The sequence below is a fragment of the Homo sapiens genome, chromosome 21, assembly GCF_000001405.40.
Source record: "Homo sapiens chromosome 21, GRCh38.p14 Primary Assembly".
In the NCBI taxonomy this organism is placed as follows: Eukaryota; Metazoa; Chordata; class Mammalia; order Primates; family Hominidae; genus Homo; species Homo sapiens.
In genome coordinates this window covers 32,840,471-32,855,267 of record NC_000021.9, presented here as the reverse complement: position 1 = coordinate 32,855,267, position 14,797 = coordinate 32,840,471, and the positions used below count along the sequence as shown (strand labels likewise).

The 14,797-nt window shown below is 42.6% G+C and overlaps 1 long non-coding RNA gene and 1 other non-coding gene across 2 annotated transcripts, besides 1 other annotated feature; both read left to right on the top strand.

Annotated features, from left to right (window-relative positions):
* Nucleotides 3,630-6,122: an enhancer, noted in NCBI's record as "VISTA enhancer hs1548". NCBI's record gives its function as "enhancer in: forebrain[6/6]" and the evidence as "EXISTENCE:transgenic organism evidence [ECO:0001131][PMID:17130149]".
* Nucleotides 5,262-10,912, top strand: LOC124905012 (uncharacterized). Its single transcript, XR_007067846.1, has 2 exons — nucleotides 5,262-5,373; nucleotides 10,558-10,912. It is a non-coding gene; the product is annotated as an uncharacterized LOC124905012 (long non-coding RNA).
* A 2,360-nt stretch (nucleotides 10,913-13,272) lies between these two features.
* LOC124900470 (small nucleolar RNA SNORA70) lies at nucleotides 13,273-13,407 on the top strand. The gene has a single exon (XR_007067942.1). It is a non-coding gene; the product is annotated as a small nucleolar RNA SNORA70 (small nucleolar RNA).
* The last annotated feature ends 1,390 nt before the right edge of the window (nucleotides 13,408-14,797 follow it).

Genomic DNA, 14,797 nt, shown 5'->3' with positions numbered 1-14,797 from the left:
TTGGAAACTATTTGCGAGTATCCTTAACTTACGGCAATATAGTTATTTGCACCAGTGCAATAAGAATCCATTTTCTTTTGCAACAATATTCAATTGGAGAAACTGGTTGTTCTGCCAAGGCTTTGACTGGAATGATGTACTTTCCTTTAGGGAATCAAGCTTGACTTGCAGAACCAATAAAAGCCCCTTGGGAAACCTGGCCTCACACCTTGTCTACACAGTTCCTTTACAGGGTTCGTAACCTGTGGTGAGTAAAGAATGTCACTTTCTAACAGGCCCAGCAGCCCCAAGCTTTCTTAGAACCTCAGGAAGAGAGGAATTTACCCAAATCATAGGTATTTGAGGGTATAAACCCATGGCTGAGCTCAGCTTTGAAAAGTTTTATCTAAGATTACTTCTGGAACAGAGTTTCATCAAAGCCAACTTAGAAAAGCCTATGTGAAAATAATTATTCTTCCTGCACTTTATGCAGATAATTAAGCCATATATAAGATGAAAGTTTATTTTGCAAACAACTCAGTCCTATCATGATTTGTTTTTAACAAAAATGAGGACTGGAGAGAGAAAAAAATATGTTTCAAAACTTATCGTACACTTGACATTAAATTCTAGTCTCATTGTTTTTAAGTTTTTGTCTGCATTTTAGACTAACCCTGCTTATTCCTGTGAACCAACCAGTGATCTCCAGCTGCAGCTCAGAAGAAACAGAAGGGCTGGGTAATGTAAAAATCTGGATCAATATTCTAGTTCTGGGCAATTATCCTGCAAATCCTGCCAGGTGATAGGAGTAAATAGGGTGCCCATAACCCCAAGATTTCTTTGTTTGGGAAAATAAGACCAAGGGAGCTAACCAAAGCCAAGCTCCATGCACTCAAATCTTAGCAGGCATAACTATAGCCATCAGTTATCTGGGCATGTTGGCAACCTTGGGATTTTTGAACTGTCCTTACCCCCTTGTTTCATTTTGATACATGTCTTCTAATAACCTGGTTTGTCTCTTTTCACCTTCAGGCCATCAAACTGCAAATGGTCATGCAACTGGAGCCTCAGACAATGGCTCCCTTTTGTCAGGGACCCTTAGAGAGGCCTCTGAGGGAGAACTGACTGCCATTTTCCCAAAATGGCACCTCCTGTCAGCATGAAGCAGTTAAGATCGGTCACCGTTCTTATCCTAATGACAGTTAGAGGTACCTCTTCAGAGGGGGGAATTGATAGCGGCAGGAGGCAGACAAATACCTAGGCAGATATGGGCAGGTCCCCAGTGAAACCTGACCTTCAAGCTAAAGACAGTTTAAAGCCTGAAAGCCAAGCTACACGTCAAATCCACAGATTGGATTGAGAACCTGTCTTCCCATTTGGCACACTTTCCTCTGATTCGTCCCCACCCCTCACCTATTTTACATATACTTACCTTTTTCTAATTGGTTTTCTACACTGCTGTGCCCACCTTTAGTGGTGCCTTTGCTTTAGCCTTTCTTTGCATACTCACAAACCAAACAGCACACACTCCCCTATTCTGAGCCCATAAAAGTCCCTGACTCAGCCACACTGGGAGAGAGAAACCACCTGAGTGCAGGGGTGGGGGACCACCCCCGCCATGTTCCCTCTCCACTGAGAGCTGTTCCATCGCTCAATAAAATTCTTCTCCATCCATCCTCACCCTTCAATTGTCAGCAGCATATCCTCTTTCTGCTTGGACATGACACAAGAGCTTAGGAATCACCAAACTTGGGTACAAGCTATAACACTGGTGGGCCAAGTGGGCAGGGCGCCTCCAGAGGCAGGCCGGGCTAAGCGACGTCTGGGCAGGGAGGGGGTCACTGGCCATGGAAGTCCCCAGTTGGCAAAGTGGCCAAGAAAAATCCTGTGTCACAAGTAAATATGGCCTCCCTGCCCCACTGCATTCCTGCCCCTGAAAAGCAGCTGACAGGATTTGCATAATATGATAAATTTCCAGAGGTCAGCTTAACTACATATGTGAAAATATATATATCCTTTGAGCTAACAATGCCTCTTTTAAGTCTTTATCTTAAAGCGCTAACCAGAGAAGTACACAAAAGGTATTTGTACAAGACATTGATTTCAGCTTTCTTTCTAATAAGAAAAAAATGAGCACCCCCACAAATGGCCCACAAAAGGGATTAATTATATAATTAAAGAATATCTATATGATGAACTCTGATGCTGTCTTTAAAAAGGAATATGGGCCAGGTGCGGTGGCTCACACCTTCAATCCCGGCACTTTGGGAGGCTGAGACGGGTGGATCACCTGACATCAGGAGTTCAAGACCAGCCTAGCCAACATGATGAAACCCCATCTCTACTAAAAATACAAAAAATTAGCTGGTCATGGTGGCACGTGCCTGTAATCCCAGCTACTCAGGAGGCTGAGGCAGGAGAATCACTTGAACCCTGGAGACAGAGGTTGCAGTGAGCCGAGATTGTGCTATTGCACTCCAGCCTGGGCAACAAGAGCAAAACTCCATCTCAAAAAAAAAAGAAAAGGAATATGAAGATATAGAGTCAGTGAAATGAAAAAAAAAACTTCATGACATATTGTTGGCTAAAACAAGCTATTTATAAAATGGTATGTATGGATGGGAGGGGGTGGATGATGAGAAATTAATTAATGGGTACAATATTCCTCATTTGCATGATGGACACACTAAAAGCCTTGACTTCACCACTACACAATCTGTCTATACAACAAAATTCCACTTGCACCTCATAAATTTATACAAATAAAATAAAAGAAAATGGTATGTATGATATAGTACCATTGTTACTGGGCAAGATGTATAAATGCGTAGACATCCGAAAAAGCAGTCTCCTGTTTACCGGCAGTGGTATCTCTCAGTGGTGAATTTAGGATGACTTTTACTTTGATCCTTACTCTGGCCTGTGTTGCTTGAACGTCCTACAAAAGGAGGTGTGGACTTCATCTGGTGCTGTGAAGAGGCCTCTAGGATGGAGCTGACGGAGCCTCTTGAGAAGCCCTGGGGAGCCCCAGCATAGTGACGGGCGGAGGCCCCAGGGATGGAATTGCTGGAGGGTCGGCAGAAAGGCTTAAATGATGTGGAAGCAAAGACAGAGCCCAAGCAGTTTTATGGCAAGAGAAAGGGCTGTGATGAAGCAGAATTTCCGGGTGATTTGGCTGAGCTCTCCGCGAGGCTGCATGGGATTCCATGTCCCATTATTATTCATAGAATTCTTGCTATCATGGAACTTATTGGGCCATTGAAACAGCCTGGCTAACTGATTGTTGTTTTGTGTTTTTGTTGTTGTTGTTGTTGTTGTTGATTTTATTTTTTATTTTTATTTATTTTTTTGGTCAGCTTGGGACCTGCTGGGGAAAAGTAAATACCAAGCTAACTTTCCCAAGGAATGCCATAGTCATTGGAGGTGGGGGAGAAATTCTTCCGCAGAACATGTGAAATCATTAAGGTCCACAGGTAGGCTGCAGACTATCTTGATTGGCAGTTGCATTCAGCACAGTGAAATACAGTACATTTTTCTTTCCTAAAAAATGGTGAAAATGAGGTAAAGAATAATGAATCTCTTCATATAACAGGAATCCAGCGTATAGAGTGAGTGTAGAATGTCCTGTAATGGTTCCATTTAGTGTTGAGATCCTCAGGCACCAAAGATGTAACTACTAGATAATATAATAGCTCTAATCCTGCGAAATTTTCTAGCGGAAGAGGGAGAATAAGAAGCATTTTTGGCATAAGTACTAGTTTGCCTGATTAAATATTCTCTATAGAGTAGGTGGAGTTCACAATAGAAATCAATAATATTGAAATAATTATCATAGTGTTGGTCCAGCACAGAAATATTGTTCAGTACTTCAGTAACATATTTTCCACTACCTAAATTCAAAAAAGTATTGTAAAAATATAGCCAAAACACTTATTTTCTCTTCCATAAGACTCTATTTGATAGAAAATACTTATTAAAAGGAAAATATCTTCAAACCGATTGCCCAAAATGGCTCCAGTGCAAATGTCTGGGAAAATGACATGCTAATATTCAGAGGACTTTCCTACTTGATCCTTTTAACAGTGGTCACTTGAAAACTTCACATTAGATTTGCACACCATACCAAATCAAAAATTAAACAGCCAAAAGAAATAAAAAACAAAACCATAATGCAAAACCAAGCTGCAACAAAAAGCCCTCAAACATTTGAGGCTATTTAAACATTTTAGAACATCTCAAAGTGAAAATAAACTTCTCTGCTCAAAACTAGTAAGCAAATTTTAAATGTTGCAACACAGATTTTCTATCACATACTTTGAGTTAACACAGAGATACAACTTAATACAATAAGCATGGCTGGCTTCTCCTGTTTGGGATTCTTAAATTGAAAGAAATATAGCATGCTGGCTATTTACTCTGTTTGAATTAACAGCAATGTACATATAGGATATTGTTAAGATCTAGTCATTCTATGACCCTTTGCTGCTTAAAATTTCTCCGTTTAACAGAATCCATACATTGGTAATGTTTAAAATGAGACTTTTCTGTGACCAAAAAAAAAAAAGTATTTGTGTAATCTTCAAAGTGTTTAATTTGTATTAAAGCTAAATCCAGAGGCTCTGAAACCTTAGGGGCTCTTGATGTGGATTTTTGTTCTGGTTCACACACCTTGAGACAAAGGCTCATAGTCAAGATGTGGAGGAAAAAGACGTTTTTTTGTGTGTGTGAGATGTGGGGCAAATTTATTCCTGAGGCAGCCTGGAATGGGCTTCAGAAAATGGATAGAGTGTCTTCTTGAAGAAAGGGCCTCTAAGTAAACTCCACTGCCATTCAAAAGATTTGCTCTGACACTTAACAAGTGGTGCAGGAAGAAAGGAAAATCTGTTGTCAGGTTTGGGGTGTTTATCAGCTCCCCTCGAGACACTTGACCTAATGCTGCGGTCCCCCTAATCCGCTGATCTGCATGCGGTGGCCCTGCAAGCCTCAGCCCACAACTGCCAGCAAAATTGCCTGGAACACTTATCCCAACACATTGATCCCTCAGTATATTGTGTGCCGCTCACCTACTCCCCCTCCTCCCCTCCCGCCCCCCTCTTGCGACTCCCCCGAAATTTAATTCTGCTCACAAATTGTGAAATAAGTTGTTTGGGCTGGATTTGTCGAGTGAATTGTCCCACTAATGAAACAGTCTGTTCATTATACAGTGGTAGGACGGAAGATTTAGCGCTCCCATACCCCGGGACCCAGGCAGGTTAACGTTTTTAGACTGACAGTTGACAAAAGAATGAATAGCTCTCTCCTGTCAAATCAGGCTTACAAACAGCTTGGCATACAAACAGTTACTGCTTGCATGCATGAGGATTTAGGGTCCCCGTCTGCTAATGCCCCAGATTTGTAAGTACAAATTGGTTAGCCTTCAAACTGTTTGCTAAAGGAATAAAATGACCAAAAATTAGTTTGTTTTAGCCTTTCCCCCTCCCCTCCCTGCTCCTGCAAGTGAAACATTAAAAAAAGAGAAGAAAAGGATAAAATAGTGTGTAATGGTCTCATGGAATATTGTTGGGTTTCTGGGTAAGGCATCAAATTAAGCAGAACCATTGTTTGGCAGGAAACATTTTGTTGTGCTCGGACACCCTGCTTCTCGAAAAGCAGCTGAAAATCTAATGGAATTACTGTAAGACATGTGATTTTAAACGATAGGGAGCAGAGGGGGAAGGAGAGTGATCAAAAACATTCATTTCTATTCATTTTAGTACCTGTTGCTTAAAACAGGTTACAATAATACAGTGGGTAATTGAGATTTCTGAAACTTTTTCATCGGCAATTATATGTACATTAGATAAAAACCATTTTAGTTTTCCTTGTTGGTTTGCATCATTTTGTGACTAAAGTAAACTAATGCAAAAATCACTGAGAGAGAATGCTTTATAGGAAAGAAAGTAAATACTTTTACCAGGTGATTTCTCGATGTGGTGATAATTTTTAGTCTGGGTTAGGTTAAATAACTCTCTGCTATATTATAACTGAGGCAGAGCAGTTGACAGGGACAGGAGTGATAGCATATATTTTTATTGAATTCTAGGGAACACAAATGAAAAAAAGGTAATAGACAAGAATTTTTTCAACTTCAACATGACCCAGTGTCTTTGAATTAAGAACTCTTTTCTTCTTTATAAAATATATTCCCAGGGTAGCCATATTTCAGTGAGTTCATGATCACATCTTTCTACATATGCTAAAGACAATTTTTAAAAATCAGACCTTTTGGAAACTTTGCAAGTAGCAGTTATGAGTTAATTCAAACATTCCTTACCACCTCCTCTCTTATCAGCGTCTAAGTCTTGCACGGGTATTTGCAGCATTAAGAGTTCCAAACAATAAGTACAATCTTAATGCAATGCATAAGTGTACAAAGTCAATGACAGTTGCTATTGGAAATCTGAATAAAGCAAGAGCATTAGGCTGCTAGAGAGAATAAGTGGGACAGCCTTCGTCCCAGATATGATTGAATCATTTTTTATGAAGTCGTCCAAGCCTATAGAATGTTCTGCACCTGTGAGTCCTTATGCCAAAATTGGTCATTTAAATCTGAGGATGGGAATGGGAGAGAAAGTCACAAACAACTCAATAGCAAACAATACTATGGCTGCACACAGAACAGACCCGAGTGGTCTCTCTCCCTTTCCCATTTCTCCTTACCACTCCCAGAACTTTGCAAACATCTTCCTCTAAAATCCATTCCTTTCCCATCAACCCTAAATTTTTTTTTCCTACATCATCACATTTTGGGCGTTTCAAAGACAGAGGCCGGGACTGATGAAGAACTTCAGGTTAAGAAAATGCATATGTTTGGTGAAAACTTTTTGGAGAAATATGCTTAGAGAAATGGCATTTTCCTATGGATTTTACAGTGCAGTGATTCCCTTACAATGGAAAACCACAGAAAATGCGGGGGTTTCAGTAATCAGGTCATCTGTTTGGGGCAGATTTCTCCATACAATCCACAAGATTACAAAGAACGCAGAGGGGAGTAAAACTAAAGCTGACCTAAGTTCCATGCAAGAGTTGAAGAGAAATGAATAAATACTTAGGGCTGCTTATTGTCTTACTCCTTATGAGAAACAAAGGCTGCTGATGGAAAGCATTGTTAATAGCACACTATAGGCTAAAATACAAAGCCTTCCTACTCTAAAAAAGAGCTGAGGCTAAAGCAAGCAAGCAAGCAAGCTAGCTAGCTGCATCATTAGCAGGAAGGGATGGGCATGGCGCACAGGTCTCTACAGAAGGAAATGCCGTTGACCTACATGGAAAGATTTTCATGGTGGTAAAGCCTCAGTCACCCAGTGACCATGGGCAGGTCTCTTAACCTCTTTGAGCTTCCCCATCCCATCTGTAAAATGGAAAGAACAGCATCTCATGCTGTTATTGTAATGGATAATTTATGTGTTACACAATGCCTAGTCCAGCAAACAAATATATGTAAATATTTCCCATATATATATATATAGAATAAATAGTGGACAGGCACGGTGGCTCATGCCTGTAATCCCAGCACTATGGGAGGCTGAGGCAGGCAATCCCTTGAGCCGAGGAGTTTGAGGCCATTCTGGGCAACATGGTGAAACCCCGTCTCTACAAAAAATAGAAAGAGTAGCTGGGCATGGTGGTAAGTGCCTGTACTCCAAGCTACTTGGGAAGCTGAGGTGGGGGGATCAGCTGAGCCTGGGGAGGTTGAGGCTGCAGTGAGCCATGATTGTGCCACTGCACTCCAGCCTGGGGAACCCTGTCTCAAAAAAAAAGATAAAAAAGGAATATATATTCTTATGAGGTTTCTGAGCAATTGCAACTGGCTGAAGCAGAAAAATCCTAGTGTTTTATGATGTATCTAAAAGCCCAGTGGAAAACAGAGGGTGATGGCTGTGGCTGAATGAGCTACCCGATCAGTAAACCTCAGGTTGGTGTTGCATCCCCCAGTGAGGCTTAATTCATCTAACGTCAGGTCTGGATGTCAGTCTCCCTTATCTTACAGATGAGGAAGCTGAGGTTCAAATTAACATGGGGTTAAATCTCAGGCCTCCTGATCACCAGTCTAGTAATGTTCTTCCCCTTCAGCACATTCCTTCTAAAGGAAAGGTTGTAATGCCGTAACCTGGTTTATCTTTTGACACGTAACTCTTATTTTATCTGTACAAAATGGGGCATTTGTGTGGGTTCACTGAGTTTTCTGAAGTAACATTGGTTCAGTACTTTTTGCCTTTTAGGCTTGTTTATGAATCTGTGAGATCTATTTTTAGAAGTTAATTACAAAGTCTACCTTTTTTCCAGTTAAATGCCTAGGTTGTGGTTATTGTTGTTTTGTTACTTATAAAGTAAAATAAGCAGAAAAAAACCCCGAAAAACAAAATAACCTATTTGTTATTTTAAATCTTCTAAAATATAACATCAAAAATACATTTTTCGGCCGGGCGTGGTGGCTAATGCCTGTAATCCCAGCACTTTGGGAGGCCGAGACGGGCAGATCACGAGGTCAGGAGATCGAGACCATCCTGGCTAACACGGTGAAACCTCGTCTCTACTAAAAATACAAAAAATTAGCCAGGCATGGTGGCAGGCACCTGTAATCCAAGCTACTCGGGAGGCTGAGGCAGGAGAATGGCATGTACCCGGGAGGCAGAGATTGCAGTGAGCCAAGATTGCGCCACTGCACTCCAGCCTGGAGGACAGAGCGAGACTCCGTCTCAAAAAGAAAAAAAAAAAATTCACATTAAAAAATCCATTGATTTGAGAAAACTGTACTTAAACCATGGCCCCAGGGTGAAATGAATGGTGAGTGGGAATGCCAATTAAAACAGATGGGAGGAGAAACGTACTTGCATTACCTTACACAGGTTTTCTAGGATTCCCTAAGTTCCCCAGAAACCTCTAGAAGGTGTTTGTTTTCTCTTTTGCCATCTCCCTTTCTGGGAAGGCTGCCAGAGTCCCTTCACCCCGAGCACCCATTCAACATAAAGCACCAGAGAGGCTAACACGGCTGCCACTTCCAGGCAGGGCTCAGGTTAGGATATTAGCTGCTCATGGCTTGGCTACATATTGCTTTGATTCAGTATTAGCGGCATCCTGCTGTGGTAAATATTATCTTTTAGAGAAAGGGATCCAGAAAGAGACGTCTAAAGCCCCCAAGACAAATTTCATCGTTTTACCCAGTACAAGCCCATGGCAGATCTATACAAGAGCCACCGTTCTCTAACTAAAAATGGGGCCAGGGCACTGAGTCCTATGTGAAAGGAGTGTAATGATGAGGTTGGAAAAAAACAAAAACAAAAAACAAAGAGGCTGTGCAGTCAGGGGACATGGTTTTGAATTTTATTTTATTCCCGCTCACCATTCGTTCACCCTGGGGCCATGGTTTAAGTACAGTTTTCTCAAATCAATAGATTTTTTAATGTGAAAAATGTATTGTTGATGTTATATTTTAAAAGATTCAAAATAACAAATAGGTTATTTTGTGTTTTTTGGGTTTTATTCTGCTTATTTTACTTCATAAGTAACAGAACAACAATAACCATGACCTAGGCATTTAACTGGAAAAAAAGTAGACTTGGTAATTAACTTCTAAAAATAGATCTCACAGATTCATAAACATGCCTAAAAGGCAAAAAGTACTGGACCAAGCTGTGTGGCCTCAGTTATTTAGTTTATTCACTTAGGTATTCAATTATTTAATTCTTCATCTAGAAGATGGAGGTGATAATAATATCTCCCTCATGAGGTTAAAAGTAAAGATTAAATAAGCAGACACATATAACACACACATACAGTACTTACAACACAGTCATGTGGTTCATAAGTGTTAGCTGCTGTCAATGGATATTCACAAGACCCTCTAGTGAATGTTCACTAGTGTTCAAAGTTTGGGCCTTGGACCAGAAGAATGGACATCAACTTGTCAGCAATGCAGAATCTCAAGCCTCGCCCCACAACTGCTGAATCAGAATCTGCACTTTCGTAAAGCACTCCGATGATTCATGCGTCCATGAAAGTTGGAGGAATGCTGGCTTAGAACACACACTCCAGACTTGTCCCTTGAGGCTTTGGCTGGGTGGCATTGAAATGAATGCTGAAGTCTTCAGCTTGGATCTCCCATATGCTAGCACACTACCCAGTGGTGTGGGCTGCCAGGCTGGTTATTTAATGAGTTTTATGATACATTAAATCTTCCAGACCTCACGGCAATTTGACCATTAAAGAAATAACTTTTTTTAAGGTAGCCCAAAACAAGCCAACTCAAGCGAATAATGGGATTAGCGCGGTGATATTGAAATCAGAGTCAGACCACGTGAGTCAGTCTCCATCAATCACGGCTGCTGTCCTCACAGCTGATTGTGGCACATTGTTTCATCAAATTAAACACCAAAGGGATGTTGTAAAGGCAGCATATGGTCCTCTTTCAAAAGTAGTTAGCCTGGCATTGCACAAGTGGCCTCATGGTGGCTCCCCTGAAACCTTCTGAATCAACATATTAAGGGTATTTGCTTTCGCAAAACAATGACTCATAAAAGTGGTTGCTTTTAATTGCAGGCTTGATAACGTTGTCGTCGGAAGCAAGTCCAGGATGTGAGATGGGAAGGAGAGTAGATGGACTCATGATGAAAGGACAGAAATCAACTGCCATCTTTTCCTGTTCTCCCATTGCAGTGGCAGTGATCACAGAGGAGAGATGCCTATGTTCACCTCTTCCACCTGGATGGATGCTGAGCTCTTAGAAATTGACTTTCCAGGGGATACAGAGGCTCATGCCTATAGTCCCAGAACTTTGGGAGGCCGAGGTGGAAGGATGGCTAGAGGCCAGGAGTTTGAAGCTGCAGTGAGCTTGAGACCAGCTTGAGACTAGACCCTGTCTCTATAAAAAATGTTTAATAAAAACTTAGCTGGGTATAGTGGCATGTATCTGTAGTCCTAGCTACTTGGAAGGCTGACATGAGAGGATGGCTATGTCCAGGAGTTCAAGGCTGCAGTGAGTGAGCTGTGATTGCTTCACTGCACTTCAGCCTGGGTGACAAAGCAAGATCCTGACTCAAAAAAAGCCAGGGGGAGTAGGAATAAAAGAAAAGAAAGCAATAGACTTTTCTCCCTCTCTATTAGGCAAAAGCAGACTGGGGATGGTTTTAGAATCAAGGCAAGAATAAAGACATGTGGCTAAAAGACCTGCTGGAGGGGGAGAGGATGTCCTCAGGAGAGACAGAGGACAGACTTCGCAGAGGGGCTGGTGAAGGGCAGCTGTGTCAGCCTCTGGTGGCTCCGGTAGAACCCTCGTAGTTTTTGATGCACCAGCTAGATGATACTGGAAGGTGAGGCCAGCCCAAGTCTGACTTTCAAGAGAAAGTCATTAGGCAATATTAGGAGTGATGTTTGGTTGCTATTTTGCATGTATGTGGCTGACCTTTGCTCCATGAATGTGATGGATTAGCCAACGTGTGATTAGTGAATAGCAAACCTCACAGCGCCCCTGTGAGCTCAGCATGAAAGGAATGATGTCATATCATAGGTAGCAGGTCACCTGAGCCATATACCTCTCTTGCAACTGCAACTCTTATCCCACCCTCCCCTCAAAGTGCCCCCAAAATAAGAGGGCTTGACCAGCCTTGGCGCAGGGTTGGAGACTGCATGGGTCACCTCCCACCTTCTGGTTTGTATGTGACCCTTTGTCACTTATGACCACACAGTTGCCACCATTCCTGGGGGCAGCCCTAAGTCCACAGCCCCCTTTTATGTCTGCTCAGAGGTAAACACAACTAAGAGAACTAAGGGAACATTTGAATCACAGCCTGAAAAAAGGTATTATTATTGGCTGGGCGCAGTGGCTCACGCCTGTAATCCCAGCACTTTGGGAGGCCAAGGCGGAAGGATCACTTAAGCTCAGGAGTTCAAGATCACCCTGGGCAACGTGGTGAAACCCCTTCTTGCTAAAATAAAAAAAATTAGCCAGGCATGGTGGCTGTAATCCCAGCTACTTGGGAGGCTGAGGCACCAGAATTGCTTGAACCCAGGAGGCAGAGGTTGCAGTGAGCTGAGATGGCACCACTGCACTTCAGCCTGGGTGACAGAGTGAGACTGTCTCAAAAATTAAAATTAAAATTAAATAAAAGATATTATTATTATTATTATTATTCAACAGCAAGACATGACCTTTCATTTTTCAAAATCAACTGAAGGGGATAAAAATAAAAGTGAAAGTCTTGTCAGCTGACTCCTTTACCAACCTTCCCCTTCTGTCCAAGAGTAGCCACTGGTGCTGGCATGTTCTCTACCCCGAAAAGGATCTTAGATGATGCCTGGTCAGCTTCCCAGTGGATACAGAAATCTCCTCAACACTGAGAATGAACCAAGATGCCTTGGTAAAATCATCCTACTGATAATACTTCACAAATAACACAGCCTTTTCCCTTGAGAGTTGGGAAATACTGGTTTTTACCCCAATTTATTAAACTCTGGCAGCATGATACAGTATCGTAGGGGTGCTATTTTACCCTTCATAAAACAGACGTGGGTTCTACCATGTCTAGGCTTCTGCAGAGGCCTCAGAAAACTTCCAGTGATGGCGGACGGTGGAAGGCAGGCACATCACATGGTTGGAGTAGGAACAAGAGAGAGAGGGGGAAGGGGCTACACACTTTTAAACAACCAGGTCTCACCAGAACTCACTCACTATCCTGAGGACAACATCGAAGGGGTAGCGCTAAACCACTTATGAGAATTCATGAGCACCCATGAGCCAATCGCCTCCCACCAGGCCACACCTCCAACATTGGGAACCTCCTTCCTACCAGTGGGCAAAAAGCAATAAATCACTAGGTAACCAGGACAATTCAATCCATGAGTAGCCACAGAAGTGACCTCAAAATTCCAAGTTATTTTTCTTGACCAAACAAAACTTTTAAAACTTCAAATAGAGGAAGTTGTGTCAACAGTTGCTAAGGTCATTATCTACTGAAGAGATTATTAGTAAAAGGAAGATTATATAAGAAATGGAACTCACCTACTGGTCTGATTAAGAAAATTCAGCATGGAAAGACTTCAATCAGAAAAGTGAGAGAAATATTTCATTCCTGCTTGAATAACAGGGGTATTTTAAAGGAAAACATGTGTGCCACAGAGTGGAGAGTGAGCTCGTCCAAGACAAGACTTAGATCATATCCTTAGCTGTGGCAAGACGAGGTGGCTCCTGGTATAGGATTCATGGGGGTTGGCAACTGTATTAGTCTTTTCTCACATTGCTATGAAGAAATACCCAATCTGCAACCAATTAAGCTGACTGAATTCCTTTCCTCCCGGGGGCCAGGTGTGCAATGGCTGCAAACAGCAGCTTCCTTGGTAGTGTACGCAGCCTGTTTCTTGTATGCGTTGCTCTAAGGGACCTTGGAGACAGGCCCTTCAGATGGATGTTCATGTCTCTGACCTTGTATTACCCCAATGTATGCTCCAAACAGACATGCGAGGTGCCTTTGGAAAACCCCAGGGCACTGTGGCCGGGGTTCACATTGTACCACGGTTATCATGTCCATCTGCACCAAGCTGCAGAACAAGGAGCATGTGATTGAGGCCCTGCGCAGGGCCAAGTTCAAGTTCCCTGGCCACCCCAAAGATCCACATCTCAAAGAAGTGAGACTTCACCAAGTTCAATGCAGATGAATTTGAAGACATGGTGGCTGAGAAGCGGCTCATCCCAGATGGCTGTGGGATCAAGTACATCCCTAGTCGTGGCCCTCTGGACAAGTGGCAGGCCCTGCACTCATGAGGGCTTCGACTGTGCTGCCCCCTCTTAATACTCACTAATAAATCCTACTTCCTGTCCAAAAAAAAAAGAGGAAGAAATACCCGAGAATGGATAATTTACAAAGAAGAGTTTTGAGGCTGGGTGCGGTGGTTCACGCCTGTAATCCCAGCATTTTGGGAGGTGGAGGCAGGTGGATCATGAGGTCAAGAGTTCAAGACCAGCCTGACCAACATGGTAAAACCCAGTCTCTACTAAAAATACAAAAATTAGCCAGGCGTGGTGGCGGACACCTGTAATCCCAGCTACTCAGGAGGCTGAGGTAGGGGAATCGCTTGAACCTGGGAGGCAGGGTTGCAGTGAGCTGAGATCATGCCACTGCACTCCAGCCTAGGTGACAAAGCGAGACTCCATCTCAAACAAAAAAAAAGAGTTTTGATTAGCTCACAGTTCTGCATGCTGTCCAGGAAACATGATGCTGAGATCTGCTCAGCTTCTGCAGAGGCCTCAGAAAACTTCCAATGATGGTGGGCAGTGGAAAGCAGGCACATCACATGGCTGGAGTAGGAACAAGAGAGAGAGGGAGATGGTGCTACACACTTTTAAACAACCAGATCTCACCAGAACTCACTCACTATCCTGAGGACAGCATCATGGCGGTGGTGCCAAACCATTTATGAGAATTCATGAGCACCCATGAAACAATCACCTCCCACCAGACCACACCTCCAACAATGGGGATTACAATTTGACATGAGATTTGGTGGGGACGCAGGTCCAAACCATATCAGTGACCACGTACGAACTTAACCGCTCAGCTAAAATAATGACTACATGTAACCAACTTAAATGATCTTAATAAACTCGTAACCCTGGCGTTCGGGCCACCTTGGGATCTGCGGTAGCTGAAGCATAACAACCAACCAACCTGCTGGGGGAAGATGCGATTCAAAACACACCTGCGGTAAGTTATTTTTTGGTATCAATTTAAAGCCCAAACACTGATGCAATTTGGTCCTCTTTAGAGCCAGGCTTCATCAGGCACTC